General features: G+C 35.5%; 1 long non-coding RNA gene across 1 annotated transcript in view; it reads left to right on the plus strand.

Moving 5' to 3' along the window:
• The window catches only part of LINC02096 (long intergenic non-protein coding RNA 2096), a 65,950-nt gene extending 48,929 nt beyond the window's left edge, over window positions 1-17,021 (plus strand). The window contains exon 4 of the long non-coding RNA XR_001753053.2: window positions 16,728-17,021. This is a non-coding gene — a long non-coding RNA (long intergenic non-protein coding RNA 2096). The remainder of the gene's footprint in view (window positions 1-16,727) is intronic.
• The last annotated feature ends 460 nt before the right edge of the window (window positions 17,022-17,481 follow it).

Genomic DNA, 17,481 nt, shown 5'->3' on the forward strand with positions numbered 1-17,481 from the left:
GTCACATCTGACATGAGGCAAGTCCCTTCCGCCTATGAGCCTTAAAGTTCCAAAATGAATCTCCTTTGTCTTCGTGTCTCACATCCAGGTCACGCTGATGCAAGAGGTGGGGCCCCATGGCTTTGGGCAACTCCACTCCTGTGGCTTTGCAGTGTATAACCCCACTCCCAGCTGCTTTCATGAGCTAGCTTTGAGTGCCTGCTGCTTTTCCAGGTACACAGTGCAAGCTGTTGGTGGATCTACCATTCTGGGGTCTGGGGGATGATGGCCTTCTTCTCAAAGCTCCAGTAGGCAATGCCCTAGTGGGGACTCTGTGTGGAGGCTCCAATCCCACATTTCCCTTCCACACTGCCCTAGCAGATGTTCTCCATGAGGGCTCTGCCCCTGCAGCAAACTTCTGCCTGGAGATCCCAGCATTTCCATACATCCTCTAAAATTGAGGCAGAGGTTCCCAAACCTCAATTCTTGATTTCTGTGCACCCCTGGGTTCAACATCACTTGGAAGTGGCCAAGGGTTGGAGGCAGGGCACAACATCCCAAGGCAGCACAAAGCAGGGGGGGTCCTGGACCCAGCCCAAGAAACCATTTTTTCTCCTAGGCCTCTGGGCCTCTGATGGAAGGGGCTGCCATGAAGGTCTCTGATGTGCCCTGGAGACATTTTCCCCATTGCCTTGGTGATTAACATTCAGCTTCTCATTACCTAAGCAAATTTCTGCAGCCAGATTGAATTACTCCCTAGAAAATGGGTTTTTCTTTTCAATTGCATTGTCAGGCTGCACATTTTCCAAACTTCTATGCTTTGCTTCCTCGTGAATGCTTTGCTGCTTAGAAATTTCTTCCACCAGATACTCTAAATCATCTCTCTCAAGTTCAAGCTCCACAGATCTCTAGGGCAGAGACAAAATGGCACCAGTCTCTTTGCTAAAGCATAATAAGAATCACCTTTATTCCAGTTCCAAACAAGTTCCTCTTCTCTATCTGAGACAAATCTAGGTCTGGACTTCATTGTCCACATTACTATCAGCATTTGGTAAAAGCCATTCAAAAAGTCTCTAGGAAGTTCCAAACTTTTCCCACATCTTCTTGTCTTCTGAGCCCTCCAAGTCTCTAGGAAGTTCCAAACTTTCCCACATTTTCCTGTCTTCTTCTGAGCTCTCCAAACTGTTCCAACCTCTGCCTGTTACCAAAGTTGTTTCCACATTTTTTGGGTATCCTTATAGCAGCACCCCACTCTACCAGTACCAATTTACTGTATTAGTCCATTCTCATGCTGCTATGAAGAAATATCTGAAACTGGGTAACTTATAAAGGAAAGAGGTTTAATTGACTCACAGTTCCACAGGGCTGGGGAGGTCTCAGGAAACTTACAATCATGGTAGAAAGGGAAGCAACACATCCTTCTTCACATGGTGGCAAGAGAGAGAAGAAGTGCCAATCAAAGTGGGGAAAGCCCCTTATAAAACCATAGGATCTTGTGAGAACTCACGAGAACAGCAGCATGAGGGTAATTGCCCCAAGATTCAATTACCTCCAACCAGGTCCCTCCCACAACATGTGGCGATTATAGGAACTACAATTCAAGATGAGATTTGGGTGGGGACACGGCCAAACCATATCAGCAGGTATTGTTTTTTCTTTTCCATGTTTAGAACTCCCTTAAGGATTTCTTGTAAAGCTGGTCTGGTAATGAATCCCCTTAGCTCTTGCTTGTCTGGAAAAGATATTCTTTCTCCTTCACTGATGAAGCTTAGTTTGGCAGGATATGAAATCCTTGGTTAGAATTTCTTGTCTTTAAAAATGATGAAAATAGGTCCCCAGTCTCTCCCAGCTTGTAAGTTTTCTGCTGAGAAGTCTGCTGTTAGCCTGATGGAATTCCCTTAGTAAATGATCTGATCTTTTTCTCTAGCTACCAGTATTATTTTTTTCTTTAGCATTGACTTTGGACACTCTGGTGAATATAGGCCTTGGTGGTGTTCATTTCGTGTAGTATTTCACAGATATTCTCTAGATTTCTTATATCTGGCTATCTACGTCTCTATCAAGATTAGGAAAGATTTCTTGAAATATTTACTTAAGCGTGATTTCCAGATTGTATAATTTTTCTCCTTCTCTCTTAGGAATGCCAATAATTCATAGGTTTGGTCACTTTCCATAGTTCTATATTTCTCAATGACTTTGTTAATTTTTTTAATTTGTTTTTCTTTATTTTTGTCTAACTGGGTTAATTCAAAAGACCAGTCTTGAAGCTCTGAAATTCTTTCTTCTAATTGACCCAGTCTATTAATACAGCTTTCAATTGTATTTTAAAATTCCTTAAGTAAGTTTTTCAATTCCAGAAGCTCTGATTAATTTTGATTGAAGATGTTTATCTCTTTCTTCATTTCTTGGGTTGCTTCAGAAGTTCCTTTGTGCTAATTTTTAACCTTGACTTGCACTTTGTTGAGCTTCCTGGCAATCCATGCTTTGAGTTCTTTATTTGTTATTTCTGAGTTTCCTTTTTGGTTAGGAACTATTGCTGGAGAGCTAGTGTGATCCTTTGGTCGTATCACCACTTTCAGATTTTTCATGGTGCCGGAATTCGTATGTTGGTTCCTTCTCATCAGGAGAAGCTGGCAATTCTAATTTTTGTAATTATTTTCGTGTGGGTAGATTTTTTTCTTTTTCATTCTTTCCCTATAATATTATTGCTTTTTTCTTTCCTTTTTCCTCTCCTCCTTTCCTAAAGAATGTGATTGTAGAGAATGCTGGGTAGGTATTTTGGCTTTGTTTCTGTAGCCCTATGCACTCAGGTCAGCAGGTTTTATATTGGGCTGTGCAGTTCAACATAAAAGCCAGTAGATGGCACTTATAGGTAAGAGCTGGTTGCAGTCAACACTGCTGGGTATATACTTGATCTTTGTTTACTGGGAGAAGCTTTCTGTTGCCCCAGGCATAGAGCTGATTCAAGGAGTGCACAGTGGTATGAGCTCACTGCTCAGCCCCTGGCTGGTGGGGACCAATATGGACAGGGCTGGACCTGTAGGTTGGCCTACCGGTCTGCTGATGGCAAGCACAAACGGAGGATCTAGTGGGTGACCACCAAGCACCAAAAGTTATGCCTGGGTGGGGAGTTGGGAAAACTCCTTGGTCCCAAGTTCTCTGCACAGGGATGGGGTGTAGACTAAACTTTAAATCCAGGAGAGTGGGTCCTCCAAATGCTTGGAGATCTGCCTGAGTATGGAGTGGAGAGGGCCCTTCTGCACCAAAATCTATGCACAGGACGGGTGGGGCAATTCAGGCTGATGATTCAGATGAGCAGCTTCTCTGAATGATTGGAAATCTGCCTTGGCATCAAGCAGAGAGGGCCTTACTGCATCACGATCTAAGAGAAGCAGACAGGGGCACCCAGTATGGCATACACAGACCAGTTCCAGGTTGCCAACCTAACTGCAAGTCTCATCGCCCAGGAGAAACCTATAGCTGTAGCAGCTTTCTTCCTGCCCCTGTGATGAGGGAGAGCACAATCCAGTGCTTACTGCTGAGATGCTTTCCATTGTTCTGGCTGAGGAGGACCTTACCTAGGACCCTACCTAGCTTCAGAGCATTCACTCCAGTCTCTGGGCTGAGACCAAATTGTCTGCATGGCCATGTTACCAGGTCATCAAAGGGAATGGGTGACTTTGTATGCACCCAGATTAACAAGGGCATTCTGCTGTCTGTTTCAGGCCTGGGAAAATGTCTGCAGCTTTTCCCAGTGTCTTTCCCTCACGGCATTTCCAAGCCTCTCCCCAGGTTCACTCCAGGGCATTGGAGAAGCAGAGTGCTCTCCTTCAGTCTGGGTTGCTCGGATGCCCAGTGAAAAGGTCGGGGAGTGGAATGAGGGAGGCTCTCTGCCTCTCTCACATACTGGGGATGCATTCCCTTTTATTAGCCAGATGCCATCATGAGACTGTTTGCCCACATTCTCCTCCCTGGATTCTGGAGTGACCTTCCTGATTCCTGTGGACTCCCATTTTCCTTCTGGAATTGAAGCTCACAGAACTGATCTTTATGCACTTTCTTGCCGTTTCCAAGTGGCTGAGGCATGCCGAAAGCCTCTAATTCACCATTTTGGAAAAAAGATCACTTTTTTCCTAATGCAGGAATTTGAAGCTATATGTTTTTCAATTAGCATTGCTAAGTGCCATTCCACAAATTTTGATATGTTGTATTCTCATTATCATTTTGGTTAAAAATGTGTTTAATTTCATTTTTCTAATATTATAATTTCCTTTTTAGTCTATGAATTATTTAGAAGAGTTTTTTATCTAATGCTCAATATTGTGGATTTTGAAATACTTTATTATTGATTTCTAATTTAATTCTATCAGGATCAGATAATCTGAAATATTTCAATTTCTTGACATTTATGGAGACATTTTATAGTCCAGTATGTGGCATATCTTGATGAATATTCCACGTTTGCTGAAAATAGTGTTTTTCACTGTAGTTTTGCTATGTAGGATACTGTAAATACCAATTTAGGCTCCTGAATTCTCATTTTGCTACTTGTTCTTAATAAATTACTGAGAAAGTGGTGTAAAACTATGATTATAGATATGATTATTTTCCTTTTAGTCATGTCACTTTGCTTCATGAATTTTTGTTCTCTGTCATTAGTTGCATATATATATACACACACACGCACACACACACACATATATACACACATATTTAGGATTATTCTAAATATGTATGTTCATATTTAGTATTATTCCTATATATAGGTTTATATTTAGGATTATTCTAAATATGTACATATTTGTAATTATGCTAAATATATATACTTTGCATAATTATAAATATATATTTAGCATAATTCTAAATGTATATTTCATTTTTCTAATTATATATGATATATTTAGAATTATTGGGCTTAATTATTTCAAAGCATATCTTTTACATGCCTTTTCTTTTCAGTTTATCTGTATCTTTATAACTAAAATCTGCAGTTTCTAGTTTGTAGACAGATTCTAGTTTGGTGTTTCCTTTTTATCCACTTAGTCAATATCTGCCTTTTAACTATGGGCATTTAGTACATTTATACTTAATGTAGTAACTGATGTGGTTAGGTTTAAGTCTGTTATCTTGCTATGTATTTTTTTGTATCTTCTGTTGTAATTTCTTGTTTTTGTTGGTTTTCTCTTTTCCCGTTTTCTGTTGAATTAATTGAATAAGTGTTAGTGTTAAATTACAATTCCTTTATTGCCTCCTTGGCACGCCTCTTTGTTGTCTTTTAGCTAGGCATTGTTATCTTACAGTCTACTTAGAATGAATATTGTATGTTTTCACACTTTATTCCTGATTCTTCACACCTCCTGCTTTATTCTTTTTTATTCTCAGTTCAGACCAGATACTCCCTACTTTTTGCTTTTCATTGTTACTTTACAAATGTAATATATTTACAACAGTACAATTCCATTTACTCATTCCCTCATCCTTTATGCAATTGTTATCTTTTATTTTTATGTATATTGTAACCCTTATCTCAGTGTATTTACTTCTAATTTAATCAGTTGGTTATTTAAGAAAATTTATGAAAAAATGATATTCTATATTTTTCTAACTATGAATATTTACCAGTGCGTTCCATTCTAGATAGATCCAGGTTGCAATTTAATATCATTTTCCTTCAGCCTGAAAGACATAGTTTAGCATCTCTTAGAAAGCAAGTTTGCTTACAATACGTTCTGTTTTCACTTACCTAAAAAATCTTCATTTTGCTTGCATATTTTCTGGATATAAAATTCTAGGTTGATAATTATTTTCTTTCAGTATGGTAAATATGTTACGCCATTATCTCCCAGTTTCATTACTTATAGTAAGAAGTCAACGATTATTCTTATTGCAGGATTATTGTACATAAAGTGTTCTATAAACTCCTTTATTCCCCTACTACTTTCAACATTTTTTCTTAATTTGGTTTCCAACAGTCTGACTAGGATGAGTCTAGATACCATTCTTTTTATACTTATTGCAGTTGGATTTTGCTGAATTTTTTCAATCTGTTGATGAGTGTTTTTCATCAAATTTTGACATTGTTAGCTATTATTCCTCAAATATTTTTATTCAATATTTTTCAGTTTTGTTTTCCATCCAAATATAACTCTCTTCTTCAGGATCTCCAATTACATTTATATCAAACCATTAGATACTGTTTCCCTTGTTGAGGCTCGTCCATTTAATTTTTTCTCTCTTTTTCAGATTGGATAATTTCTATTGGTCTGTCTTCAGGGTTAGTATTTATTTTGCCATCTCTAATGTGCTCCTAAGTCTATCCAGTAGTTTAAATTTTTTTTGTCCTTTTCAGTTCTAGAATTTCCATTTTTAATACTTTTTTTCCTGCTTGGATTCCCTATATTTTCATTATCTGAGATCATATTTTTATTTAATTCTTTAACAAATTTGTCTTTATTAAAATATATTTTCTTGTTTTTGTTTTTATGTGAATCATTATTTTTAAATAAAATAATTGCCATAATGGATAATACAAGTACTCTAAAAATATGTAATAGAGATTCTGGGTTCTGTTAATGATCTCTAGAGAGTATTCATTCTTGTCCTGCTAAGCAGGTAAATTACTGGCTGATTACTTTATGCTTGTAGGCTTTCGAGGAACCTCTAACTTGGCAGGACCTGACGTCAGATTCTGTCTGTTTGGGCTTGATTGTATGCTTAGCTAGGGTGGCTCTAGACCAAGTTTCATTCTAAAGCTTGGTTTTCACTCTGAAGATATAGTTTTTCTGGTGTTTCAGTGGGATGCCAAGATGTTGATGAATTATGAAAATCTCTCTACTCTGTAGGACCATAGCTCTCACATCCCTGGGCAGTACTCTTCCCCTAGCATAGCTTGATCTCTAGTATCTGTTGTATCTCAGCCCCAAATCAACTGATCTCTGTTGAATGAAGTCGCTCTCTTATGTGTAGCTACAGACTCACAGGAGACTCCTCTAAACAGACTTTAGGGGCTGCCCCTCTATAGAGCTCCCTCAGCTCTGCTGCCCTCACAGATCCTAGACACTTCAGCTGCTCTGAATTTTTAATTATTTCTTATCAGCTACCTACCAGGTTAAAAAACTACTGGGTTCTGCTCAGAATCCAGCTCCCTCTTTACTCGGAAAATTGTCTCAAGGAAAAGAACAAAGCAATTATAGGGTTTCTAACGAGTTTCCCTTTTCCGAATGATTGCAGTCTTATACTGCCTGTTTTTCACTGCCTGAAAGCCATTTCCTCATTATATATAGTAACAATTTTATAGTTATAAATGGTAGGAGGACTAGTCCAAGACTAAATTATGTCTAGAAACAGAAAGCTTCCCACAAAATTTTACTATTAGGTGAAAGATAATGAGAAGCCAAATAATATCCCCGCAGATAATTAAAGCATCCCATAAGCATGCCTTTGAACATATCAAAACCATAACATTTCATTTAAAAACAAGATAAAAGACTTTAAGTGTGTCATACAATATCATAAAAGAACAACATAAATTAGAATTTGCAATATTCAGCAATGAGGTGCCAAAACTCAGAAAAAAAATGTAAAAAATTAGAATCAAAATACAAACTCATAGAAACACAGAAAAAATGAACAAAACAAAGAGTGCCCTAAGAGAAATAGAAGGTGAAAATAAGGAATTTTTTTAATTGAAAAAATACAATATCAGAAATAGTAAATATTTGAGCAAATATAGACTGGACTTCACCTCTTAGGTTTAAAATATGCTTTACAGCTAATAGCAAAAATCACAGCATTGTCTTGTGAAATTTTCAGTGAATGATATACAAGGCAACTAAAACATAAAATAGGTAAAGTAAAGGGATCTATGGGGTGGTGAAATTTCTACATAAAACATTAATTCAAATAGACTGAGAACTCTGTTATTATTATGCATATTTTAATCCCTACAGCAATTGGTAAAACAGCTATATATATATTATATATGTATATATAGAGAGATATTCTAAACTATACAATTGATAACTTAGAAGGGAAGGTTTTTAAATGTTCACGTATCACAGAAGAAACGAAAGAGAAAAGGGGGAAAAACAAGTAAAAAGAAAGCAAACGGTGAAAGGGTACACCTGTATCCAAATATGTCAATCATTATATTACGTGTATATGATCTAGAGACAATAATTAAAGACAGAGATTGTCAGAATTAATTTGAAAATGACACAGCTACGTTATGAGTGTACAAGAAGCTCACTTTAATATAACATTGTAGGAACATTAAAAATTAAAAAATTAAAAGCATGGATAAATATAGGCTTTGCAAATATAAATCAGAAGAAGGCTGGAGTGGCTGTGTTAATATTAGACAAAGTATATCTTAGAGCAAAAATCATTAGCAGGGTTAAAGAGGGACATTGCATGTTAATAAAAGAGATTAATTCACCAAGAAAACATAACAAAGTTAAATGTTTATGCATGTAACAACAGAACTTTAAAAATACATGAAGCAAAAACTGAAAGAACTAAAAAAAGAAATAAATCCACAATTACTGTTGGAAGCATCAACACTCCTCTCTCACTAATATGTAGAACTAGTAGAGAGAAAATCAGCAAGAAAATAGAAGAAATAAACAACACTGTCATAAAATGAGATCTAACTTACACTTATAGAACTTTCTAATTCATAACCACAGAATACACATTATTTTCAGGGCACACAGAACATTCAGCCAGATAGATCATATCTGGGTTATTAAACAAACCTCAACAAATTTTAAATAATTAAAATTATACATAGTATGGTCTCTAAATTTAATGGAATGAAATCAGAAATTAACAGCAGAAAGACAAAGGAAAAATCTCTAAATACTTGAAAATTGAACAGCACATTTGGACATAATCTATGGATCAAAGAAGTCATTTCAGGAGAACAATAGAAAATGTTTTTAGCTGAGAAAATATGAAATCTAACACATCAAAATTTGTAGGATGCAGGTAAAACTGCTTCCTTGGAAGTAATGCGTATATTAGAATAAAAAAATGGCCTCAAATCAAGAATTTAAGCTTTCACTTTAAGAAACTAGAAAAAAGAGTAAAATACACACCAAGAAGGTAGAAGGAAGGAAAGAGTAAAAATAATAATGGAAAAGATAAAAATGAATTTAAGAGAAAGGGACAATGGTAAAGATAGTGTTCAATAAACAGATAATGAGAGTTCCCAAAGAAAAAAATCAAAATGCAAAACAAAAACCATAAATCAAAAAAACTTTTTTATAAAGTTAAAAAAATTCCACGGTATGTATTGCGAGAACACACCACGTGTTTAAGAGTTGATCCATTGGAAGCCATTATTCTTAGCAAACTATCACAGGAACATTAAACCAAATACCTCATGTTCTCCCTTACAAGTGGGAGCTAAATGATGAGAACACATGGATACGTAGGGGGAAAAACAGACACCGGGGCCTATCGGAGGGCAGAGGGTGGTAGGATGGAGTGGATCAGGAAAAATAACTAATAAGCACTAGGGTTAATACCTGAGTGACAAAATAACCTGTACAACACACTTCCATGACACAGGTTTACCTGTATAACAGACCTGGACATGTACCCTATAACTTAAAAGTTAAAAAAAAAAATATTGACCCAGAATGACCACAATAAAGACATATTCTAATAAAATTACCACATCTTAAAAAACAGTCACTTTTCTTCAAAGTGCTAAACATAGAATTACCATATGCTTTGTAGGAGTACAAAACAACAGTAAGGCAAAGAATAGATGATCTGACTGTTAACAGCAATAATTTATGCCAGAATAAAATGGAATAATACATGTGAGGAACTCAAAAAAATGTGAGCTAAAGATTTTATATCTGGCAAATATGACTTTTAAGTATAAAGGGCATAGATCATCGGCTGTCAAATTGCAAGAACTCAAGGAATTTTGTTCCCATGATTTCTTCTTGAGGAGTAATCAAGAAACCAGCTTTATTTTTTTCCTTATATTTATGTATTTATTTATTTATTTGAGACTGAGTCTCACTCTGTCGTCCAGACTGGAGTGCAGTGGCGAGATCTCGGCTAACTACAACCTCTGCCTCCCGGGTTCAAGCAATCCTCCTGCCTCTGCCTCCAGAGTAGCTGGCATTACAGGCACACACCACCACGCCCAGCTAAGTTTTGTATTTTTAGTAGAGAGGGGTTTCACCATGTTGGCCAGGCTGGTCTCAATCTTTTGACCTCAAGTGATCCACCCGCCTCAGCCTCACAAAGTGCTGGGATTACAGGCATGAGCCACTGTACCTGGCCAGAAAACCAGCTTTAGACAACCAAAATGATTCAGGTCACATGGGAATAGGGACTGGGGCATAAACATATAGTTACTAGTAGAACTAAGAGTTAAAGGGGTTACATTATAGAATGTATAGTATATAATAGATTTATAAATTAAGAATAAAATTAATTTTTTAAATTTATCAAATATTTATAAATTGTTTCAAATTTTATTCAATTCTTTTCAAAAACTGGGAAAGAATACTGAGATTATGGACAAAACCAACTTTTTAAGCTATTCTCAAAAACTATAATGGATGGCTATAATATATTGTTAAACTGAGGCTTTTGTCTATGTAATGTGTAATAAGGTAAATTAATCATTATGGATATTCCAATTCTATGATCCCCTGTGTCCTTAAGAACCATGATTCTCAGTGTTGAAGAAAGAAGGTAGCCACACAATACAAACAAAAATCTTGTTCAAAAAGCCTGTACTTATAAATTTGGATTGTAAATATTTGTATGAATTTGTGGGATGTTTTATTTTACAGGTGCTATATACATATTTTCTAGTTTTATTTACTGAAGAGATCTAGAAACAATGAGCAATCAAGTAATAGAGAACATCCCTAGAGTCCACACAGAGATCTTGAAATATTATTTTCTATTAAAAGAAATCAAGGTTTTTTGTTTGGTTGGTTTTTGTCTTTCGAGAAACAGCTGATCCACATCTGTGGCAGGAATTGTACAGGATTACCCTGGAATATCTTTTACACCAAATGTGTGGGTACTATCCCAAACTACAAGACTCATGTAGAAAAGAAAGCAGAAGCTAATTTGAAGACATTTTCACAGGTCAAAAGTGAACAATTTGAGCTTTGATAACAATTGCAATGGCTTGAAACCCATCAAAAATTTAAATCCTTGAACTCATAACAACATATTTTTAAAAACCTAAACCTAATAAGTCACCTGTGGAGATGAGCAGGGAACATATTAATTATTTAAAACTGGTAAATCAAGAAAAAGAACCTAACATTTATTTTGTCTTTTCTGTATGAACTTTCACTTAAGGCATCCAGTAGTAGATGAGGGGTAGTACCTATTTGTAAATGTTTTCCACTAATAAATGACAAATAAATAATAGAATATTACTATTTTGCAATCCCATTGAATTAATGAATCTAAGTTGTAAGCATCAAGAGTTGCTCAACATCATAAAAAAGAGACTGAGATATCATGTCCCTCCTGATGAAAGAGCCCAGCTCCACTTACAGTCTTACCATTGGGATCAGGCTGATCCAGTCTCAGTCTAATGGACAACATGCAGGAACTCCAGAGGGTAGAGGGCATGGTGAACTGCCCCACAGGTGCAAAATCAGAAAAATCCAGACTGCAGGAAATTGCACAGGTCCAACAGCCTGGGTTCTTCAACAATAAATCATAAGGGAAGAAGGGAATGAAAAGAAAATCTATGTAGTAAAAGAGATTTAGAAGACATATCCTTTTTTTTAATGGGCAATACTAAACTCTTGTGTCTTGAGTTGAACACGTGGGTGATAAAACTGTAAAGTAACACAAGGAAGGAAATAATGATATAGAAATGAGGATAGGAGTTACTTTGTGGGGAAAAAGAAGGGGCTTAAGATTAAGATGGGGCATACCGAGGGGCTTCTGGTATGGGCGGCAAAGTTAAATTTCTATACGTGGATGGTGGTTAAAAGGGTATTCACCTTACAAGCTTTATATTCAGCTGGGTTTTTTTGGTATTTTTGTTTTATTTTACTGTAAAAATGGGTTGGAAATATCATTATTTTTCTTGTGGACCTTGCCAATTGTGGCTCACTTTGAAGATCTCCCTGAATACAATAATTAATAAGTATTTACTTATATATTCTTCAGCACAGTTTAAATGAGTAATTTCATATTTAAACTATTTAATATATGTTTTACTTTTTAAATTTTTATTCTTACAGATTTAGGGGTACACATGTAGTTAGTTTTGTTATGGATCTATTGCATACTGGTGAAGTCTGGAATTTTCATGAATCCATCACCCAAACATTGAACATTGTACCCAATAGATAGTATTACATCTCTCACTCCCCTCCCACCCTCCTCCAATGTCTATTATTCCACTCTATATGTCACTTACAAGCTGAAGCCACCCATTGTTTAGCTCCAACTTGTAGGTGAGAACATGCTATATTTGCCTTTCTGTCTCTGAGTTATTTCTCTTAGGATAATGATCTCCAGTTCCATCCATGTTGCTGCAAAAGACACAATTTCCTTCTTTTTTATGGCCAAGTAGTATTACCACATTTTAAAAAATCTAATCATGCATTGTAGGACACTCACATTGACTCCATATCTTTGCTATTGTAAAGAGTGATGTGATATACATATGAGCACAGAAGTCTTTCTGATAAAATGATTTATTTTCCTTTGCGTAAATACCAGCAGTGGGATTACTAGAGGGTAGTTCTATTTTTAGTTGTTTGAGAAAGTTCCATACAATTTTCCATAGAGGTCTCCATACAGGTTGTGCTAATTTACATTATCACCAACAGTGTATAAGCATCCTCACCAACATCTGTTATTTTTTGACTCTTTAATATTAACAAGGCTGACTGGTATAAGATGGCATCTCACTGAGGTTTTAGTTTGCGTTTATATGATGACTAGTGATGTTGAACTTCTTTTTTTCTATATGTTTCTTGGCCATCTGTATGCCTTCTTTTGAAAAAATATTGTTTTGTCTGTTCGTGTCCTTCACCCACTTTTTAATGAGATTTTTTTTTTCTTGTCGAGTTGTTTCAGTTCCTTATAGATTCTGGATATTAGCTTATTGTCAGATGCACTGTTTGCAAATATTTTCTCTTTCTGTAGGTTGTCTGGTTACTCTGTCAATTACTTTTCTGTGCAAAGCTTTTTAGTTTAATTAAGTCCCATTTTTCTATTTTTGCTTTTGTTGCATTTCCTTTCGAGGACTTAGTTATAAATTCTTTGCCTAGGTGAATGTCCAGTAGAGATTTTTCTAGATTTTCTTCTAGGATTTTTATCTTCTCAGGTCTTACTTTTTCAATCCATCTTGAGTTAATTTTTCTATATGGTTAGAGATAGGGGTCCAGATTCATTCTTTTGCACATGGCTATTCATTTGTCTCAGCACCATTTACTAAAGAGGCTATCTTTTTCCCAGGTGTATATTTTTGTTGATGTTGTCAAAGGTCAGTCGGTTGTAGGTATATGACTTTATTTCTGGGTTATCCATTCTGTTTTATTGATCTATATGTCTATTTTTATATTAGTATCATGCTGTTTTGGTTATTATAGCCTTGTAATATAATTTGAAGTTAGGTAATGTGACACTTTCAGTTTATTCTTTTTGCTTAGGATTGCTTTGGCTATTTGGGCTTTTTTGTTGGTTCCATATAAATTTTAGGATTGTTTTTTATAATTATGTGAAGACTGACATTGGTAATTTGATAGGAATTGTGTTGAATCTGCAGATTGCTTTGGATAGTATAAATTATTTATCTAGAATGTATGCTTAGTATATGGTGTGATGTAGGGATTTTATTTTACCATTATTTCACTCTCCATAAATATTTTCAAGTTGTTTTTTACTACTGAAAAAATAATGTATGCACGTGGAGGAAAACCATAAATGAAGCACAAGAGAAAAGAAACCCTTCCTTCCATTTATAGCTTTATCTCTCTTACCAAAGACAACCAGTCTTCCTATTTTTTGTTATTGTTGCTGTTGTTGTTTTGCACTGCAGTAAATAATTGTTTTCCATGCAGCATCTTTAATAATTTAGCTTTGCATAAAGCATCCCACTTTAACTCAGTTCATATAATTTTTGTGGATTTGATTTTAACCCAAAGTTGATGAGGTTCCTTAGTCACAGAAATTGCATCAGGAAAGGGAATATGATACAAGTCAGGCCAACAAGAGCCAACAAGACTCAATTTTAGGAGTTTTATCTCAACTACTGAGCAAGAAAAAAAAAAAACTTTAAATTTGGTATAGTCAAGATGTCATCTGGAGCTGTTAGAAATCACACCACGTAGAGCCCAAGAATAAAACCAACAAACAGAATGCAGAGCCAAGATATGGAGGAAATCAGAGACTGATAGTATGGTTTTGAACCCTGCCCAGTTATATGTGAAGTCTAATTTTATACTTTTCAGCTTATAAGAGATAAGGAATTCCCTGGTTGCAAACTTGGATTGAATTTTTTTCCCTTGCAATCAGAATCTAGCTGATAGTATATTCTCCTGAGAATTAATTCTATCTGCATAAACACATACACTTATGTGTATACACACAAGACTGTCATGGTCAGAACTTGGAATCCAAATAGATCTAACTAAGTTGTGTTTTATAAACCCTCTGATTTTCTTCTCACTCTCTGAAACTCAGAAATAAAATAGATTTGAGTAATATAGAATCTCATTATATGTGTTCTCTGAACTCTTACTATTTGAAGTGTGTGTGTGTGTGAGAGAGAGAGAGAGAGACAGAGAGGCAGAGAGAGAGAGGAGAGAGAGAGAGAAAAGAGGGGGGCATTTTATATACTGTCTTGGAGATCTTTCACATCAGTTCGTAGACATTACTTTAAGTGGCTGTAAATTTTTTTCTATGTAGCATGTGCTTAACCAGCATGTATCCCACTGAAAGACATGTTTGTGTACAATTCCTTGCTATTCCAAACATATATATTTTATCACGAATGTATATGAATATATCAAACAGTAAGGTCTTAAGAGTAGAATCGTTGATCCGAAGGATATGAACAACTTAGCTTTTTATAAGAGAAAAATAAGAGTTTGGTTTGGACTTGTTAAGAGTACTGAAATAGGAGCAGGTCTTGGGGAAAACATCTTTATTATATTAAAGATGTATCCCAATGTTTATTTATAAATGTCTTATTTTACCAAAAAAAAGCCTTTAAAATTTTTATGAAGTCCTCAACTTTTTAACCTATTTGAATGATTAATTATATTAAAAGTTTTCCAGATATTGAACCATCTTTGCATTACTAGAAAAAGCCTATCTTGGGCTTGATGTGCTATACTTTTGAAATACTCTGAGATATTTAATTATACTTTTGAGGATTTTTACAATTTTTAAAATATGTATCTACTTTTCTGTTGCATCTTTTTCAGGTTTCTGCAGACATCTTAAGTAGGATGATAATAGCTTTTGATATCAAGTGAAACAATTTATATAGCATGAGAATTATTTATGATGTAAACATTTGCCCATAAATTTTTTTTGAGCCGGGGATCTCATTTGCAGATAGTTCTTTAGAATAAATTAAATAAACTGTCATTGCCACTAATTTAGTATAGTTTTTCACTTTTTGAGTCAGTTTTGGTCACTAATCTGCAAAATATCTATTTCAAACAGAATTTTTATTAGTATATATAAATTTTTCAAAATTTTATATTGTACTTTTGTTAAATATTTCTTATATTCATATCATTTATACTTTATTAGATACAACAAATTTTTGTCACTTTTTCATGATACATCAAAAAATAAGTTCTGAATTGATCAATTCTATTGCTCTGTCTTCTAATTCATTACTTTTCTTTTCACTTTTCTTCTTTACTTCATTGACCTAGTTTTGGTAATGAATATGTTTACTTTTTTCTTTTTATTTTAATAAAATTACAAGGCAATGAAATTGCCTCTGACTAAATCTTTGGTTGTTTTATGAAATATTTTTTCAAATAGTGTTCTTTGCTATTTTTTTCTGAGTGGCTCATTATTTCTAATTTAATTTCCTTTTATCCAGGATAAATTCGAGACATATTTGTTTCTTTTCATGTAGTTTGAAATTACAAGCAAATTTATGCACATTTAAAAATGTGACAAGTAGTATAAGTTTTTGTTGTTGTTGTTTTGAGATGGAGCCTCGCTCTGTCATCCAAGTGGGAGTGCAGTGGCATGATCTCAGCTCACTGCAAGCTCCGCCTTCTGGGTTCATGCCATTCTCCTGCCTCAGCCTCCCAAGTAACTGAGGCTACAGGCACCCGCCACCACGCTCAGCCAATTTTTTGTATTTTTAATAGAGATGGGGTTTCACTGTGTTAGCCAAGATGGTCTTGATCTCCTGACTTCATGATCTGCCCACCTCGGCCTCCCAAAGTGCTAGGATTACAGGCGTGAGCCACCGCACCTGGCCATAAGTTTTGAGTTACGTTATACTCTGTCAGCTAATAGTCTAGACAAATTTTATTATTTAAAAATTAATGGATTAATATACATTCATATTTTATAACTTTTATTAAAAACCAATCAAGAATAAACTGTGAATATGGTGCAACATTCCCTGCTGTGAGATGCTTGGTTAAGGAATTTTGTTTCTCCTGTGTGGCATCCATTTGAGAAAATATTCTGCCCATGAGATTCAAGTGGGCTACAACCCATACATGCTCCTTTACTTTCCTTTCTCCCTTTAGGGTGACACAGGCTTAAACTGAGACAATCCAGCATGGAACACTTGCAGGAAGTACTAGGAAAGTGCATTTTCTTTCCATGAGGGTTGCCAAACTGGAAGCATGTTAGCTAAAGCTACCTGTAGTCATTTTGTGGCCACATTGGGTGAGATTGTCTGAGAAAGCAAACCAACTGAAGCAGAGCAGAGAAGATACTCTACCAACCTAGTTGGAGCCCTGGTTCCAGCCTTGCCTGAAGCTAAATGCACCTCTATGCTTCCTTTTTACTGACCCAATAAATTTCCCTATTTGTTTAAACAAGCTTGATATGATTTTTTTTCACCCAGAGACTCTTGATTCATTTTTTTATTAATTATGTGGCCTCCCACAAAGATGAATACTGATGAAGTATACTGCCAGCCAAGAAGCTCAGGGCTCTGATTTGTAGTCTGAAGACACATGTGGCATACATCAAAGAGTAAAGATCTCCACTGGAAGCTTTGCTCTGTTAGCTTGTTGAGCTTTTGTTGCTTAAAGGGAGAAGAAGCTTGCTGAGTTTTCTAGAATAGCACAGTGTATTGTTTGAGTACATATCTTTGACATGGCACATATTGCAACATGATCCCAATTCACAGCAAAATCAATGGTGCCAAGGTTATCATTGTCTCAATATCATTGGACCTCAGAAATTTCACAGGGGCCCCAGAGCTTTCAGAGTAAAAACATCAATCATCCATGCAGTGATGCAGGATTAATTCACATGTTCAAAAGCATCTGG

The sequence above is a fragment of the Homo sapiens genome, chromosome 17 (assembly GCF_000001405.40).
Source record: "Homo sapiens chromosome 17, GRCh38.p14 Primary Assembly".
NCBI lineage: Eukaryota > Metazoa > Chordata > Mammalia > Primates > Hominidae > Homo > Homo sapiens.